The 17732-nt window shown below is 40.2% G+C and overlaps 1 protein-coding gene and 1 long non-coding RNA gene across 2 annotated transcripts in view, besides 3 other annotated features; both read left to right on the top strand.

Annotated features, from left to right (window-relative positions):
* The window catches only part of TAS2R1 (taste 2 receptor member 1), a 276530-nt gene that overhangs the window by 57269 nt on the left and 201529 nt on the right, over positions 1–17732 (top strand). The gene's annotated exons all lie outside the window — the stretch shown is intronic.
* LINC02112 (long intergenic non-protein coding RNA 2112) overlaps positions 1–17732 on the top strand; it is a 262510-nt gene that overhangs the window by 57217 nt on the left and 187561 nt on the right. The gene's annotated exons all lie outside the window — the stretch shown is intronic.
* Positions 12466–12967: an enhancer, noted in NCBI's record as "H3K27ac hESC enhancer chr5:9833753-9834254 (GRCh37/hg19 assembly coordinates)". NCBI's record gives its function as "activates a minimal SCP1, AML or CMV promoter by ChIP-STARR-seq in naive H9 embryonic stem cells {active_cell/tissue: H9 hESC(naive)}" and the evidence as "EXISTENCE:reporter gene assay evidence [ECO:0000049][PMID:30033119]".
* Positions 13691–14191: an enhancer, noted in NCBI's record as "H3K27ac hESC enhancer chr5:9832529-9833029 (GRCh37/hg19 assembly coordinates)". NCBI's record gives its function as "activates a minimal SCP1, AML or CMV promoter by ChIP-STARR-seq in primed H9 embryonic stem cells {active_cell/tissue: H9 hESC(primed)}" and the evidence as "EXISTENCE:reporter gene assay evidence [ECO:0000049][PMID:30033119]".
* Positions 14192–14692: an enhancer, noted in NCBI's record as "H3K27ac hESC enhancer chr5:9832028-9832528 (GRCh37/hg19 assembly coordinates)". NCBI's record gives its function as "activates a minimal SCP1, AML or CMV promoter by ChIP-STARR-seq in primed H9 embryonic stem cells {active_cell/tissue: H9 hESC(primed)}" and the evidence as "EXISTENCE:reporter gene assay evidence [ECO:0000049][PMID:30033119]".

Here is a 17732-nt window from a genome sequence, read left to right as displayed (position 1 = left end):
GTACATTCAGAGAAGGTGAGTGTTGAATATTTTTAATAGGAGATGTGCATGCACTGATGGAAAGATGTAGGAATGTTATTTCAAATGGTCTCTGTTCTGTCTGTTTTAACTTATTCCAAAAGAGAGGAGAAGTGTGTTCTAAGACAAATGCATAGAAATAGCGTGTCCGGGAGACACAGACAACATGACCTGGGGCTCACTGGACACATTGTCCAGTGTGTAGAACATTGTCCCAGACTATGAGGAGACCAGAATGGATGAAACATTGTCGTCGCCCTCCAAAAACTTTTCTCTTGCTCAGAAAGACATAGTCCCTATGGGTGGAAACAATATGCAGTAATTAGTCAGTGGTGCTTAAAGTTTCAGGACTTTGTAAACTTTTGCATACTGCTTGTTACTTCTTTGTTGAAGTATCCATTTCTTCATTCAAAGACCTTCTTTGTTTTCTAGCCCTTCATCGGAAATAGCTTTCTTGGTTTATATAAATCTCATCTAATTATATTTGTGTTACACACCTTTTTCTACTATTAAAAAATAGTTTATTGCCCCAGTTTTCTATCTCCTTCCTTGTAGTAATTGGTCTCAGAGTGAAACATTACCTTCAAGCTCATGCTAATATATGAATAATATGTTTTCATTTATTCCTTTACATTTTATTTGGCATTTGACATTGCCTCTCTTATTTTTGTTTGGTTGGTGTTATTTTTGTTTCTGTTTTGGACTGTTACCCTAGAATGTGCATCTTTATTTCACAAGATATTCTTGACTACATTATCAATAATCGTTATGTCCACCAGTAAACCAAATTAAAAAGAATTACTCTAATAATCCATTGCATTTGGCGGACACTTTGCAAACATTTTCTCACTTCATCTCTTACTTGGTCCTTAATTTAGGCTCAATTTGCAAATAGACTCATTGTATTACGGCTTCAGCCTTTATTCTCCTTCCTTTATTCTTTGCTTTCCTGATATGATATCTAGCTTGTCTGTCATATTTCTGAAGTACTTGGGGCCCAATTTCATTTGAATTAATGCACCATACTTGGCACCTTGAATCTTTTTCACACTTGACAACTAAGACACATTGAATGACTGCCTTATCCCTGAAGAGCACTAACATTTTTTTTTCTGCCTTGAATCTGGAGCTTGCCCAGAAACTACTTTCACTTGCAACAAATTTATCCAGCAAATATCATTAAATGTTTACTGCATGCAACATATCTAGATTCTACGGGGGAGATAAAGCAGAACAGACTAGTTTTTAAATTTAATAACACATGTTAATCTGTCAGGCAAATATACCAATAATACCCACGAAGATCTGCTTCCAGCTTGCTGACAGCCACCTTCTCACTGTGTGCTCACATGGCCTTTCCTTGGTGCATGTGGGGTGGAGGGAGAGAAAGATCTCTTTCTTCCTCTTCTTATAAGGGCACTAAACCCATCATGAGGGCTCCACTCCCATGACATCACCTAAACCTAATTACCACTCAAAGATTCCACCTCCAAATACCATCACATTGGGCATTAGGGCTTCAATGTAGGAATTTTGGAGGGACACAAATATTCAGTCCATAGCAGGATGTAATAGGAAATAGGTTTGGAAACATTAGTTTGGTCCAGGTCACAGAGGGCCTTTTATGTCCAATAAGGAGTGTAAAAAATTTTTGATGACAATTGACACTATTGAAGACATTGATCATGTAAATATCATGGTCAGACCTCAGCTTTGGGAAAATTCACCTGGCAAGGGCCACGGTCATTCTCAGACTCTCTTTCATCCTGGCTCTGGTTTATAGAATCAGATGATTTAGAAAGCTCTTTGATTAGCTTACTTTTTTTGTAGAAAAGTTCATCTATTACAAAAGGCCTAAAAAAATGCTGAAAGCTTCCAAGCAGAATATAGAGTTCATAGCTAATTAGGATACAATGGAGCCAAACTCAGAGAAAGCATCTGATTTTATGGAGCTTATAGTCTAGGAGGGGAGATGTGCTGAAACCAAATAATCACGTAAATAAGTGAATGCACTATATGAAATTACAAACAAGATGTATTTGAGGCTATATAATGAGGTTTATCCTGTTTAAATATGTCAGGGAAGACTTACATAGGAAATCACGCTTAAATTGAAACTTAAAGAATGAACAGGCATGACCTAGGTAAGAATTAATGTAGAAGGCCCTGTGGTAAGAAAGAATAGGGCAAATATAAAGAACTGAAAAATGTGACTGGAATACAAGTAATAAGGGAGGGCATAGCATGAGATGAAGATAGAGAGTTAGGGTTTAGATCATTCAGGAATTTATAAGTCATTAAAATTTTTTTCCTATTAGCAATGGGAAGCCATGGAAGGGTTTTAATCTGGGAAGAGGCTAATATAATAGAAAAATGGCAGAATTCTAAGATTGTCTCCATGATCTCAGCCCTCCTGGTTTATATCCTTCATACTTCCCTTTCCTTGAGTGTGGGTAGAACCTGTGACTTCCTTCTCACCAGTAGAATACGCAAAGATGATGAGATGTCATTCCCAATGATAATACTACATTATGTAGGATTCTGTCTTAATATACTAGAGCAAGAAATTATCCTTGCTAGCTTGATGAAGAGGGCAGGCATGTTGAGGAAGTTCACATGGCAAGGAACTGAGTGAAACCTCTAGAATATGAGGGCAGCTTCTAGCAGACAGCCAACAAAAGGCTCTAGCTTTTTGTCTATCTGCAAAGCCTGAATGAGTTTGGAAAAGGATTCTTCCACAGTGAAGCCTTCAGTTGAGAATGTAGCCCAGCTTGCAACTATGTTGAAGACCAGTGATACTCTGAACAGAGAACTTAACTAAACTGTGCTTGGATTCCTGTGCTACTGGGGTCATATTCTGGTACCCAGCCATCTCCTCACTTCAGAAACAGAGGAATTTTGAGGCTACCATTCTTTATTAAGTCTATAGCCTGAAAATGCTTTATATTTTTCGTGGTTTACCCTTCATCTCTGGATGGATGGAAACTGTGAAATAGTAAACTTGTTTGGTTTTAAACGGTTAAATGTGTGGCACCTTGCTATACAGAAATATGAAACTAATACTTTTTTGTTGTAATATCACTATAGTTGCTTATAGAGAACAGATTAAAAGTGAAAATCGTGGCTGAAGATAGATTAGTTGCAAGATATTCTATACTGTAGGTAAGAAGTGAAATGGTAATGGTGGAGGAGATGGAGAAAAGTGGAATGATGTGAGAAACATTTAGGAAGTACTGGTTATAAAGGATAAGGGCATGTCAGAAATGGTACTTTGGGTTGTGGAAGACCAAAGACTTTTCCACAAAATGAGAAAAGACAGAGTAAATATTTATTTAAAAGTCAGATTAAAGACATGGAAGAACTGCTGAAGCAACAAAAACTTCAATCACAAATAATCCAGAGGGAAAAGAATTATAGAGAGGTGAGCCAACATTCTGTGAGCTACTTCTTCCCTCAGAGAATTTACAGTAAGTGAGAGGTTAAAAAAGACAGGAAAAGAGTCCTGCATAAAAGGCAGAGAAGCCAGCTGAACTTTTAGCCTGGGGTTGGATAGCAAAAATTTGTAATTTGAAGTGTCCAAGATGGGCAGAACAGAGATGCTAGATTCTTATAAATGAGCATGGCATATGGAAATAAGCCCAAATTCATGGTTTTCTTCCTCAAGCTATTTGTCCAATTGTTAGATTGTATGGGCAAGAGACTAAGAAGCTGAGTAGAAAGCTATCAAAAGTACAGAAGAGATTTTGGCCATCGCAAGGCAGTTATGACCCAATAATTAGAGGTCAAGACTTACCAAGCAGGAGAGGCCCTAGTAAACAGTAAAGGTTTCAGGCTTCCAATTAGGACCCATGGAAAACTAGACTCTAGGAGTAGAGATAAGCCAGAGATAGAAACTTGTAAAAACTGCAACTTTGCCACAAATCAGCTTAGTAGCTGGGTGGATTGAGCTGCTTCAAAAGACAGACTGTGCTGGGCACAGTGGCTCATGCCTGTAATCCCAGCTCTTTGGGAGGCTGAGGCGGGCAGATTGCCTGAGCTCAGGAGTTTGAGACCAGCCTGGACAACATGGTGGAACCCCTTCTCTACTAAAATACAAAAGAAATTAGCCGGCCGTGGTGGTGGGCACTTGTAGTTCCAGCTACTCTGGAGGCTGAGGCAGGAGAATTGCTTAAACCTGGGAGGTGGAGGTTGCAGTGAGCTGAGATTGTGCCACTGCACTCCAGCCTGGGCAACAGAGTGAGACTGTCTCTCAAAAAAAAAAAAAAAAAAAAAAGAGAGAAAGAAAGACTTCCTACCAGAATATAGGTTGAACCTTCCCTGGAGGAAGATAACATGCTCCAGGGGCTTTACTATTTTTTAATAGATAATGTCTGACTTTCAATAAAAAATTATGAGACACACCAAAAAACAGGACTAAGAAAAAACAAAGGACAGTAGAGACAGACACAGATCTACAAGTGATGAAGGTTTTTACACACATACATTAAAATAATTGTGCTTGGTTTCCTGGTCGGGAATTTGACCTCACCTTACTTACAGATAAGTTAATCTGTTACTGCTTTACAAATGCTGGAAGAGAACATGAGACTTCTAGGTCAAAGAAAGAACTGTATTACTTATGGCTCAGCGAGCACATGATGGATGTAAGCATATTCACATTGCCTCCTGGCCTCCAAATTCCACAGGGGCAATGCTATATAGCTCAGATGAATGCTACACATGCAGTGGGTTTGCATCACAGCTGGAGAACATCAAGTTTAGAGAATCCCATGCTTTTATAGCAAACACTAAGAAAGCTTGCTCTCTGTTCTGGAGGGAGACATTACATTATTCCTCAAAATTACTGACTACAAACACAGTCTTGGAAAATGGCCCAGGTAGACTGGCCACAGCCTTTTATTGTTGGCACCACCAGCAAGAACAGAAAGGGATGCTAAGGATCCCAGAGAGATTGCATTTCCCATCATGTTTTGGTCAAGAAAATAGAATAACAGAGTGGAGAATGTCCTTAGGAACTGAAATTTATAAAACAGAGTTAAATGGAATCTCTAAAACTAAAAAATTTAATAAATTATATTACAACTCATGATATGAGTTTAATAGCAAATTCAGTACATCAGAATAGAGAATTTGTAAACAAACTAAGAAAGTAGAAAATATCCAGGCTGAACTACAGCAAGGCAAAAAGTGGAATGCTGAATGTATGTAAGTAAAGAAACATGTGAAATATGGCGAAAGGCACCAATAAATGTATAATTTTTTCCTAGAAGGAGAAGATGAAAGGGAATATGTAATATTTCAAGAGAAAAATGACAGATTAAAGACATTCAGCACCATATTCAAGAAGCACTGTGATTCTCAATATGGATAAATTCAAAGTAAGCTTGCAAAAACAAATGACAAAGAGATAACCCTTGAAAGCATCCAGAGAGAAAAATAGGACACATGCTCTCAAGGTAGAAATATAAGACAGACAGCTGACTTCTAAATGAATATGATGGAAGTTAGATCACAGTAGAATAAAAGCTTTAAAGTGCTGAAAGACCAACCTAGATTTATGTGCTTTGTGAATATGTCTTTTAAAAGTAAATGTGAGCTGAGGCAGGAGAATGGCGTGAAACCGGGAGGCAGAGTTTGCAGTGAGCTGAGATTGTGCCACTGCACTCCAGCTGGGTGAAAGTGTGAGACTCCATCTCAAAAAAAAAAAAAAAAAAAAAAAAAAAAAAAAAAAATAAATAAATAAATAAATAAATAAAATAAAATGAAAAATAAAGTGAATGTGAATAGATAACATTTTTAGATAAAAACTGAAAGAGTTTGTTACTAGCACACCTTCACTAAAAATATTCTAATGGAGTTCTTCAGGGAAAATAAAAGTAATCCTATCAGAAACACAGAAATACAGTAAGAAATGAAGAGCAACATAAGTGATAAATATAAATGAACATTGACTGTACAAAATGATAAAGCCTTGGGATCTAAAATATATAGGAATATATAGAATTAAAATGCATGACAACAATTCAAAAAACATAAGGGAATAAATGGAGTTAATGTAACATTAAGATAGTGGTAAAAATCTTAATTCATGTTAGAGTTTAAATAGTCAAGAAGAGTGCATGCCCTAATCTTTATAGTCACCACCAAAAGATAATAAGATATGAATAACTAAAAATGGATGGTAGAGGAGAAAGATGGGAAGGATAAAAAACAAGATGAATATTGGTGCCATTCATTCAGATAAAGAACTCTGAAAGAGATTGAACAGGAGATGTAAACTCGATGGTTGGATGAGTTAATGTGAATCCCAGAAGTCTGAGCTACACTTTTTTGAGGCTCAGAGCTACCCTGTTTTCGTGGTAAATTGAAGAAGAGTGAGGAATATCTCACTTGTGCAGACAGTCCTCAGTTTAGCTCACCCTTCCTGCAGCTCACATTGATGTAATCAATGACATAGGTGGCAAAATCTCACCAGGGAACTTTATGCAGCTGAAATACAAGGTAGCAAGGAGAGCAAGAGTCCAAAACGTTGACTCTTTTCATCTCATTTGCTTGTAATCACAACCCATTCAAAGTCATTTTCCTAAAGAGTTGGATTCAGAATCCTTCTGGGAGGACGAAAGTCTAGAATGGTAAGCCAAATTGGGTTTGGCCTGCAAAGGGGCTAGAAGTTTCCTTTCCCCTAGAAATATAAAAATCGATTACATTAAGTATTCTGTATTAAAATGACTGAGATAAGAATAGTTAAATATGGAAGGCAGGAAAAATGACTATACTTTAAATATGTAATTACCTGTAATGGACTACCTTAAAAAAAAAAAGACGTGTGTTTACTTTTACAACTTCTGACAGCACTGCACATGCAAAAACTACCCGTCTGTTGTTCAGCCTTGCAAAACGCTCAATGCCTCTCATGTTAAGCCTGTGAAGAATTTTGTCTGTTCATTCTTTATTGACAGCTGTGATAGAGCTTTGAGTCACTTTGTACTTATTGGATTCCTCAAGCACAATTTCTCCTGTTTCAGCGTAGAAACACACCTTCCCTATTTGGAGATTGTCAAGAGTGTTGTGATAGTAATTTCATCATGTCACTGAAAGCTTTTCTTTTTTTATTTTGTTTTAAGGAATAAAAAGAGTAATGGACTAGCTTTTCATTTACTTATGAGATCTGCTTGTCGTTATAAAAGACTAAAGGTTGTCTTTCAGTGTATTTTGTTGTACAACAGGATGTTATTTTATTGCTGATATCATATATGAATTCTTACCACTTGCTTTTCACATGGCAGTTTGAGTGTCGGAAACCTGAGAGTTCCATCAGCCTAAATTATTTTTCCTTTTACCGTGTCTGTGCTGCTTTCCCACTCCCTCTCCTGCATTCATCCCTGCCCACTCTGCAGCTGTGCAAAGCTCTAAGCTCTTGAGAATCTGCCTCCTTGTCTTCACAGAGCTGAGCACAGAGCCCTCTTTACCCTAGCGGCTGCGCAGCTCAGGCTTCATCACTGTGGTGATAACAGAGACCTGCTCGATGCTGATGATGTTATGATCCTGAGTCAAGGATTTGACTTTTAAAACGTGATGTTTTTCCATCGGCTTCTGGAATAAGTACTCCAGCCCAGATTTCAGTGTCCAGTTAGTCCAGGTCTGAAACCAGAGCCTTCTAACCATCCAGCTCTCACTGCATTTCAGATGTTTGGTTTAGCCTGCTGTTGGTGTTGAAACACACCTCAGAAAAAGCACGGGAGGTCAGTGTTCCAAATGTGAATCATTTCCAGCGTTGAAGATGACCTTAAGGAACTGAGCTTCCTTTCCTAATAGAACATTGCATCTTACTCTCTTCCTAAAAAATGTATATCCAAGAATCCATTTTATTGGGCTTGCTAGGAGTTGATGCAGAGGAGAGTTGTGCTTTCGGAGCAGAAGTACTGTCCAGCATTTAAAGCTCTCAGAACCCCTGGTTTATTCCATCTTCATAACTGTGGATATGAGAATCAGAGGCAAATGTCAGTGATAACCTCAGCTGCTGAAGAACAGAAAGCTGTACCTTGAGGTGTCATTTCACATCATGTATGCATAACAGGCAACCTGCTTTGTAGCTTTTTCTTCGCATATCAGGGATGAAAAAATATGGCTCAGGAGCTGTCTTGGCTGGCATGAGGGGCAGATGTTCAGATTGGGTGTCTACATTTTAAGAGGCGTATTCTATTCGCTCCTTCATTCTCCTCTTTCCCACATACTCTTGATCTTTCTCAGACTCGGCTTCTGGGAAAAAAACCAGGGGCCCACAGATATGCCTGGAGAAGGGTGAGGATGGACTAGAGGTGCAGAGACGGGGCGCACCACAGCAGAGCACCAAAAGATTCCTGGGCACTTTTACAGATACTCAGACCCCATCCCAGACCTGGAAAGTCAGAAATTCTGGGGTCTATACCCAGGGATCTGTGCTTTTTCAAAGCTTCCCAAAGTGATTCTGATCATCATCCTGGTTTGGAGACTCCTGCCCTGGGGGGGTTGTCTCTGCATTTCATCCATGGACTTGACAGAGATGCTCACCATAGCTGAAGCTTGCTCTGTGATGTGATCCAACTGAGGAAGCAATGCTGGGACTCACAGATATTTGAGTAAAGAGAGACCATGAAAGAGACACAGACTGTCTTACTCAATGGCGAGCAGACAGTGCAGGCATCCATTCAGTGCCTATCTAATGTGAACCTACTATATACCAGGTGCTTTTCTAGTGCTGGGCCCATAGCAACAAACAAGACAGATGACATCCCAGATGCTGCAATAATCAGCAAAACATGCTGTCGCTCCACGAGGCAGGGGTTTTTGTTTTGTTCACATTTGTATCCCAAAGCCAAGACGGTTCCTGTGTAGAAGGCATTTGTTAAAGAAATGAAGAAGGTGTTTCCAGTGGAGACGTGTGTGTGCAATGGAGGAAAGCAGAACAAAGCAGGAGGCAAGAAGTCTGGGGTGAGAAGGTTGGGAGGAGCCAGGCCCACAGGAAGGTGCAGGTCCTGAGCCTGGAAACAGGGCGAGGGGCCATCGCTCCATTCTGACCAGCAGAGGCAAATTCATCCTTGATATATAGATCCAGGAACAATTTAGGAAGCTGCCCGCCTATTTACTTCCAAGGCATGCTCCGAGCAATTAGCATCCACCAAAGGTTCCTGCGGATTAAAACATTCCTGGAAACCTTGCTGTCCCCATGGTAAATATGCTCACCCTCTCTTCTAGTTAAGGGCTGCCATGTGGCCTCTGCTATTCTAGGACCCCATCCGTCACCATAACCAGCCTACAGAGAGCAGCTGGCACAGACCTCTTCAGGATGCGGGGGTCTCCTCACTTCTCCATGCCTCGGGAAGAGTCTGTGGGAGCTCTCTGTGAATGTAGTGATGTGTGTGTATTTGTGTGTATGTGTGCATATGTGCATGTATGTTGTAGTCCAATATTTCTATTTTCCTAAGCCTTTGGGTTCATCTTCTACAGTATTCCAGGGAAGTTCTGGCATCTCAGCCTCATTAAAAACAGGTCACCATTGAGTTCCAATTTCAGCCAGCCAGCCAGCCAACCAGTCACGTGTTAGAGCCACTTCCATCTGCATAAAATAACGTATTAAATCTGGAATCTCTCAGCAATGCACCATGATTAAAATGTTAAGACCAACTCAGTGTTACATTTCCTGCTCCTTAGTCGAACATCATTAGATCCTCATGCATGTTTCTTGGTTTTTTGCTGATATAAATAAGCAAAATCTTGCAATGATTTTCAAGTATAAGCCTTGTCCTCCCAGTCACACTTTGTGTTTGTGTCCCTGGAGCAGGCTGAGATCTGACTTTAGATATGGGAACAAGGGGTGGTTTTGCTATTTGCTTTATGGAACGGTTATCACTAACCATCAGGAAAAGGACACTTTCTAATTCTACTATTATCTCACTATGTTTAATATGCAGCAGATAGGCAGCAAAGAATAGTTCCTGTAGTTATTCCTCTTAGCATTCCATTATACATAGCAGTGGCTCCTGCCTGGGGCGATTTTCCTCCTGCCCCAAGGAAATTGTCAATATGTGGGTACAATTTTGGTTGTCATAACCTGGGGCGTATGGAGGGATGCTGCTGGCATCTTGTGAGTAGAGGCCAGCGATACTGCTAAACACCCCACAATGCACATGACAGCCCTCCAACAAAGAATTATCCTGCCCCAAATGTCAGTAGTGCCAAGGTCAAGAAACTTCAGCCCACGAAGGGATTTGATGATGACAGAATTTATTTAACACTGAAGTTCCAAATAACACACTTTATTAGTCCATTTTCATGCTGCTGGTAAAGACATACCCAAGACTGGGAAATTTACAAAAGAAAGAGGTTTATTGGACTTACAGTTCCACATGGCTGGGGAGGCCTCACAAGCAGAAGGTAAAAGGCACGTCTCACATGGTGGCAGACAAGAGAAGAGAACTCGTTCAGGGAAACTCCCCTTTTTAAAAGCAACAGATCTCATGAGACTTATTTGCTATCACGAGAACAGCATGGGAAAGACCTGCCCCCATGATTCAATTACCTCCTACTGGGTCCCTCCCACAACAGGTGGGAATTCAAGATAAGATTTGGGTGGGGACGCAGCCAAACCATATCACACACAAATAACTGATTTTATCTGGGGTCTGATGATTAACTCATTTCAGATCCAGTTTTAACAAACATTTATAGGGTTTTTCCTAAATGATTTTTCCTACAGTTTTAACTCAGCCACCCTGGGATCAAGGCATCCTAAGCCTGTTGTTATAACAAGGACACTGAGTTGAGAGAGGTTCTTCTTGCCCAACATTAGGCTGTGGGAGAGGGGCCCAGCAGGGATTTGAACCCAGGCCCTCCCAGGCTTCCTCTCCCCCTGCCACTTTGCAGGACATGACTGTCAGGTGGCACCATGGGTGTTCTTCCTTGGCATCACTCGTCTTTCATGCGGGCTCCCTGGTTGCCTGAGGTCTGGCTGTATGATGTCATTCATGGTGTCAGCATCCTGCTGGGAAGTAGCACTGAATTCTTTTCTTTCAGAATTGGCTCTATTAGAGGCTGAATAGGTGACAGCAAGCAATTATTCCTTTCTTTCTTTTGCCTGTGTTCTCTGTTCTTATTGACAGGCACAAAAGAAAAAAAATGTGGATGGTGTGAAGTGCCAGCAGATATCTGTGAATGGGTCTAGGTCACCTGACACTGAATGTATGTCCAGTGGGCAGAAAAAAGGTGTTTCTAGTGTAGCGTCACATGAATGTGGGGACACAAGGGCTCCCCCTGGCCACAGTGGAGAGAGCTTCTCTGAGGCCCTGGCTCTGCTGTTCTCCTGTTGCCAGATATTTGGGTCCCAGAACATCACCCATTTTCATGTGCACACATCCATCTCCCCTTGGCCTTTCCAGATGCTGCCATGTGCTGGCCCCTAGGAACTGGCAACTGCTTTGGAAGAGGAAACTTTTCATTTCCTTTGGCGTTTCTGAGCCTTAGAAAGCTGGGGGCAGATGTTGAAAGCTGAGCTGCTGCCGTGCCCCTAGGGGTCGGCAGACAATCAATTTCTAACCTGTTGCTGGGCAGCTCAGGCGTCATGAAAGAGACTTAATCTCCAACGATTAAATATTAAATGCTTTCTAACATTTAAACATTAGGCTCGTTTTATGATTGTGAAAGCAGCAGTAAAGCAAGGGAGAGACAAGTTTACTGCATCTTAACTTGTGCAGCAAATTGAATTTCTATCGATGGGGAGAAGTGCTTCTCCCCGTAAGAACTCTCCAAGTGCCTGGACTACAAAGATGGGCAGAGGTTTGTGGGTTTCTTTTTTTTTTTTAATGCAGTAATAACATTTACAGAGATGAAACTGTCAGCACTACCCCTAATACTGCAGATTAATTTTGACAGTCATCTTTCTAATGCAGGGGAGGGAGCTATTGCCTGTGTCCCTGGGGAACGTCTGAAGATGAAACTAGAGAAATACAAGTATTTGCTGTGGTTGCTTTGCTCTATTTGATCTTTAAAATATTTTTTTTTCATTCTACAAACTTTTCTCCATAGGTGTGAACACATTAGCGTAAATAACTCTGTACTCTGGGCATTTTTTAAAACTGTTTTTATGTGTACCCAGCTTTTCCTTTCTGCAACTGCACTCATCCACACAAAAGATTAAAATCACAATTGTGAACATTTATTGAGTTTCTTTTTGTGCCAGGTACTGTTTATTTTAAGCACCTTGCATGTGCTAACTCAATTGGGGGTCACTTGACCCACTAAGATGGGATTCTGTGGCTTAGATTTCTAAACGAGGAAACAGGATGTTGAGGAAACTCTGGGGAGAAGCACAGCTGGGGCTTAGACCCAGGCAGTTGGGATCCCAAGTCAGTGCGCCCAGCTCCCAGCTCCTAGCTCCTGAGCGCTTGACGCAGAAACAGTTCTGCTCTGCTTCCTGCCCTTTCCCTACAGCCAGGGACCTTACGCTCTTCCAGGTAGGGCCTGGAAGGGGGATGTGGTGAAGATTAAGGGAGCAGCTGGGGAGCTGAATCCATCTCCGTACTGAACAAAGGAGTCACCAGCTAGTGGCCCTACCAGACAGGAATCGCCTGCTTACAATGTCAGCTGTTCTGCTTTACTCACCTGGGGCTCTGAGAAGCCAACACTGATGCCTCAGGGTCTTTTTTAAAAGTTGGAAAGTTTAGAGCAATAATAAAAGGACTGGTTTGCAGGAACTCAATTCTCACATGCAACAGGAAGTCTATGCCTCCTCTAAGTGAATTCTTTGGGCTAAACCATTACCAATATTCAACTATTCTTGACCTACCAAAACAGCAGTTTCATGTGATACAACTGTATTTATATTTTTATTATATTCATATGTTTCACTCTTAATCAGATTTGCCTAATCTGATGGGGTGATTTTTCCTTTGTACCACACAAGTATTTTTCTTCTTTTATGGATATTTGTTCTTAATCTTCTTTTGTTTTTTGATACCATCAATGTGTCCCTTTTTACCTGACATAAGTTGTCACCCAGCTGTCTTCCAGCTTGCATTTATCCATCAGCATCAGGGCATCTTTTCATTTGTAACCCTTCTTTGTCATTTTGCCTTAACTTTGTCTTTTCACAGCTCACAAAGAAAATATTCCATAATAAAGGATACTTTTAGCAACAGCGTTGAAAAGTTACAGTTATAAAATGTGAAAGGAAAATACATCTTGGGACCCCAAAATCACTAAGCCAAGGGAAAAAATCAAGCTGGGAACTGTGTCAGAAACCTGCCTCAGATTGTATTCCTAAATAAGATAGCTACAAAGATAAAAAGCTGCATACCTTCCTCACAATTTGCCTACAAGAAAATTCCTTACGGACAAAGGACAGACAGAACTCAAAGTCATCTCTCTGAGGCTCGCCTGAGACAAATGCATACCTGGCTGCTTTCTCTGCCCTGCTGTTTATGTGATAAATGCAGATTCACTGAGCCAGACTAAACTGTGTATTCAGTGCAAGGCTGATAGAGGACTCAGAAGAATGCAATCTTTTGTCTCTTATCTACCTATGTCCTGAAAGCCTCTGCCTCTTGTCGTCCCGCCTTACCTGATTAAAACGATGTACATCTTCTACATATTGATTGATGTCTGATGTCTCCCTAAAATGTATAAAAGCAAGCTGTACCCTGACCACCTCAGACACATGTCATCAGGACCTCCTGAGGCTGTGTCACTGTCACGAGTACATCCTTAAACTTGGCAAAATAAACTTCCTAAATTGATTGAGACCTGTCTCAGACAACTTTCGGTTTACAAAAACATAGAGGAATATTTGCAAAGTGCTTCAATTGTATTATGGGTATTTTGGCTTGCTACGTCTTTTTCATTTCTTTTCATTAATCTTACACCAAAGTTTGCCCACTTGTGTGGAATGAGCTGCCACATAGTTGGCTCATTTTGCTTTTGATTTACATGGAGGCAATGTGTCCTAGAAGGGACACCTTTGAATCCCAACAGTTAATTTTCTCCTCTGCTTAGAGGAACACTTGAGAAGCAGGGATTCCTATCGACAGGGGCTGAGAGAAGCACTGCTTTCCAGCTACAGGAGAACCCTGGCTGGGAGCAGAAGATGGCGGAAAGGTCCACCTTCTCCCTTCTCATAGTTTTGCCTTACGTTTCACCTTTTTAGTAAAACCTTGAAACATGAATGCACACCTATGTTCAGCCATGAGTCTGAGATCATATTTCAGGACAATCACCAGCATGTTTTGATGAGTGACTTGTTGGACTCTGCTTAACCTCATTTCTGCACCTTACTTGTATGTGAATAAGGAGGGCATGCGGACATCTGGAACAAAAGAAGGAAAAGTGTTGCTCGTTTGTTTCACTGAAAACTGGTGAAATGCCAAGATGTCAATGTATGCATATTTTCATTGATCCTTATGTTTAACATGTTACTGAACTATAAGACCCAGCATGGTCAGCAGATCAAAGACACAAAGAACCTAAGCCGGAGATGAGCTGGACTTGATAACAGGTTATGTAGATGAAAGAGAGTAAACTAAGAAGGCTGGCCCTGGTGCTAGTTGGCTTTTTCTAAAACTGTGAAGCGCACGTCATTCCTCTCGGCCTCCTTTTTCTTTTCCATTGCGAAATTGTCAGAGTTAAACTGAAATATCTCTAAGAATTTCCCAACAAATAAGTGATTCAGTGGGCTCTCTAGTATGTCAGAATTTTGTTTGGAAAATTTTTAAAGAAAGACCTAACGACCTTTTCAGATAAAAATCGCAAATATAATTAAGGAGCTGGGAGGTAAGACTTGTGAAGAAAGGTTTAATAAGCAAGAATTATTTTGCCTTGGAGGAGAAAAGACAAGGAGTTGATATTACAGTAACCCCTTGATGAAACAGAAATCTAAAAAAATGAGTATAATAAGCCTAGTTTTTCTTTAAAACTAATATGTTACGATTTGAAAAAAAAACAGAAACATGCTCGTTAAAGAAAACAAAATTGCCAAAAGTTTGCACACAGAGAAACAAAAACGTAATTGCATCCCCCATACTCACGTTTAATCTTTCACTGAATTTTCTTTTAGCAGTTTTCTCTAGTTAAAAATGTCTACATTATATTGCATATATATATTTCTGTATTCTGTTATTTTAAATTTAGAATAAAACAAACACTTCTAAATGCTATAAAATTTTATTGTTTCGTGACACTATGCCATAGTTTATATAACTATATATTTTTTTTGCTTCTAGTCATAGCCCTGTGGAAAATGTGCATAATACTTTGCTCTATATTATCAGTATTTCCTCATGATATAATACTACTGCTGAGCTTCCCGGGTCAATGGAAATAAACGTATTTGCTGTTGTTGATAACGTTCTCAAATTGCCTTGAGACGAGTTCCACCAAGTTACAGTCCCAACTGCAATCTGTTTCCCCTGTCACCAGCATACTCTCCAGAAGTTATAATTATATTATGCTTGTTAGTGAGATTTCCTTCTTCTTTTTGTAAATGTCTCTTCATAAACTTTGCCCACTGATTTGCTGACATCTTAATGGTGTTGAACAATCACCCAATGGACTTAGATTTTTCCAAGAACATGCAAGCATGAGATGATTTTTTAAAAATTCATATGCATAGGAATTTACTGGAAAGACTAAAGCCTCTGAGTCAACAGAGGCTCAGGAAAAATGCCACAGCTTGATTAAGTTGCTGTCTTCTCTATATCTATGTTCACCTCTTAAAAAGTGTCAAACTGGATGATCTTTGTGACCATGAAAATATTCTCTTGGAGAAGAATAAAGAAAGAAGGAAGAAGACCTCAGAGTTAGTACGTTATTGGTTGGGGATAGCAGAGAAATGATTCTTACTTTGGTATCAGGTAGGCATCTTAAAATCCCTTCCAATGCAGAAACTCAGAAGCTTTATACCTGTATGTCTGTTTTGTCTCTGTTGTATGTGTGTGTGTGTGTGTGTGTGTGTGTGTGCGCGCGCACGTGTCTATCTACCTACCTACCTACCAACCATCTATCATCTCTCTATTTATGTCTATCATCTTTTTTCTGTCATCCATCTTTCTATTGTCAGTCATCTACATAGTCTGTCATCTATTTTTCTGTGTCTGTCATCTATTTTTGTGTCTGTCATCTATCATCTATCTGTCTACCTATCTTTCTATGTCTATCATATCTCTCTTTCTTTGTCATATACCTATCATCCACCTATCTGTCAATCATCTGTCATCTGTGTCTGTCAACTATCTACCTACCTATCTGTATTTCTGTATATATCTGTCATCTTTCTTTGTCATCTGTCTATATCTAACTATCTATGTCTATCATCTCTCCCTTTGTTATCTGTCTGTCTGTCTGTCTATCTGTCTATCCATCCATCCATCCATCCATCCATCCATCCAATCTGTTCTCTTGCTCCTGTTTTTATCCAGTAAATCTTGGAGCAGGCCTAGTACCCTTAAGAGCTACTTCCCTTCATGGCCAAAGCTGTGGGTGGTCTATGCAAAAATGCTTGTGGCCTCCCACCTGCTGTGGGAGCAGCTTTATCTTATCCTTGTGACCATGTGTGACAAGGTCAATGGTCACAAAGATAAGGTCACAAAGATAAGATCAAATCTCAGGGTCCTGAGGTATTCTTAGAGGAATGACTAGGCAGTATCTCTGGTCCCTTTGCTGTGCCATGATTCATTCCCCCCTTTTGTGTCTCAGCCTCTTTTTTTTCTTCTGAAGCTTTTTTTCGCTTGGGGTACACTGCCTGTGGTTTTAGCTTACCCTTCAACTTTACCTCTCTGTCTTGATCTCTGGAGGAATGCTCCTCTGGGTTATTTGCATCAACCATGACTCATTATTCTGGAGCTGAAGGGACAGTTCCCTGCCACTCCTGGGCCCATGGCTTAAGCCCTCAGCTGGGGTTTAGCAGGCCAGGTTCCTCCTTTCCAGCAGGAAAGCGGAGACAGAATTTAGTGCTGCTTATTGTTCTTCACTGCAATCAAAAGCAGAAAAATAGATCTATATGAATTTTAATTTCAGTAATCACAGTACAATTAATTTGGTCAAGAGGAGATCTAGAAACAGATATGATTTTGGTCATTGGTCAAATGATGCCCTTGTCTATGGTCACAAAGATAAGATAATTTCTCAGCATCCTGAGATGTTCTTAGAGGAATGACCGTGGGGTGTCTCTGGTCCCTTCCCTGTGTTATGATTCTTTTCCCCCTTCTGTGTCTCCCACCTGCCATGGTATGGTGAAGAGCTGAACTTTTCTGTTTTTATGAGAATTATTAGGTCTGTGTATGATTAAGAAGAAGTGCTAGTGAGGTTTAAATTTAAATGCCTTTATTATTCAAAATTTTTATCTCAGAGCTTTTGCAGAAATTTTAGCCTCTGGCTAAACAATGATTACTTTGCCGTAATTTTTCTCCCTAGCAGTAGATAGCCTTGCATTCAGTGGCTTCCCTTCCAACACAAGTCAGTTTATTTCAAGTTCTCAACACAGCTGAGGTTCTTTATCAATTGTTGATTATCATCCATGCTATGCAGGAGCCCATTTCCTCTGTATTCATAACACAGCACTGGCTACATCCTCAGCCTCACAATCAGTGTTCCTACAGAGTCCATATACCCAGTAGATCTAATGAAACTCTTCTCCACCAACCTGAAGTAAAATAAAAAGTTTTGTCTTATTTTGGGGTTTTGTTGTTACT

Source organism: Homo sapiens, chromosome 5, assembly GCF_000001405.40.
Source record: "Homo sapiens chromosome 5, GRCh38.p14 Primary Assembly".
NCBI lineage: Eukaryota > Metazoa > Chordata > Mammalia > Primates > Hominidae > Homo > Homo sapiens.
This window is presented reverse-complemented; position numbering and strand designations above follow the sequence as displayed.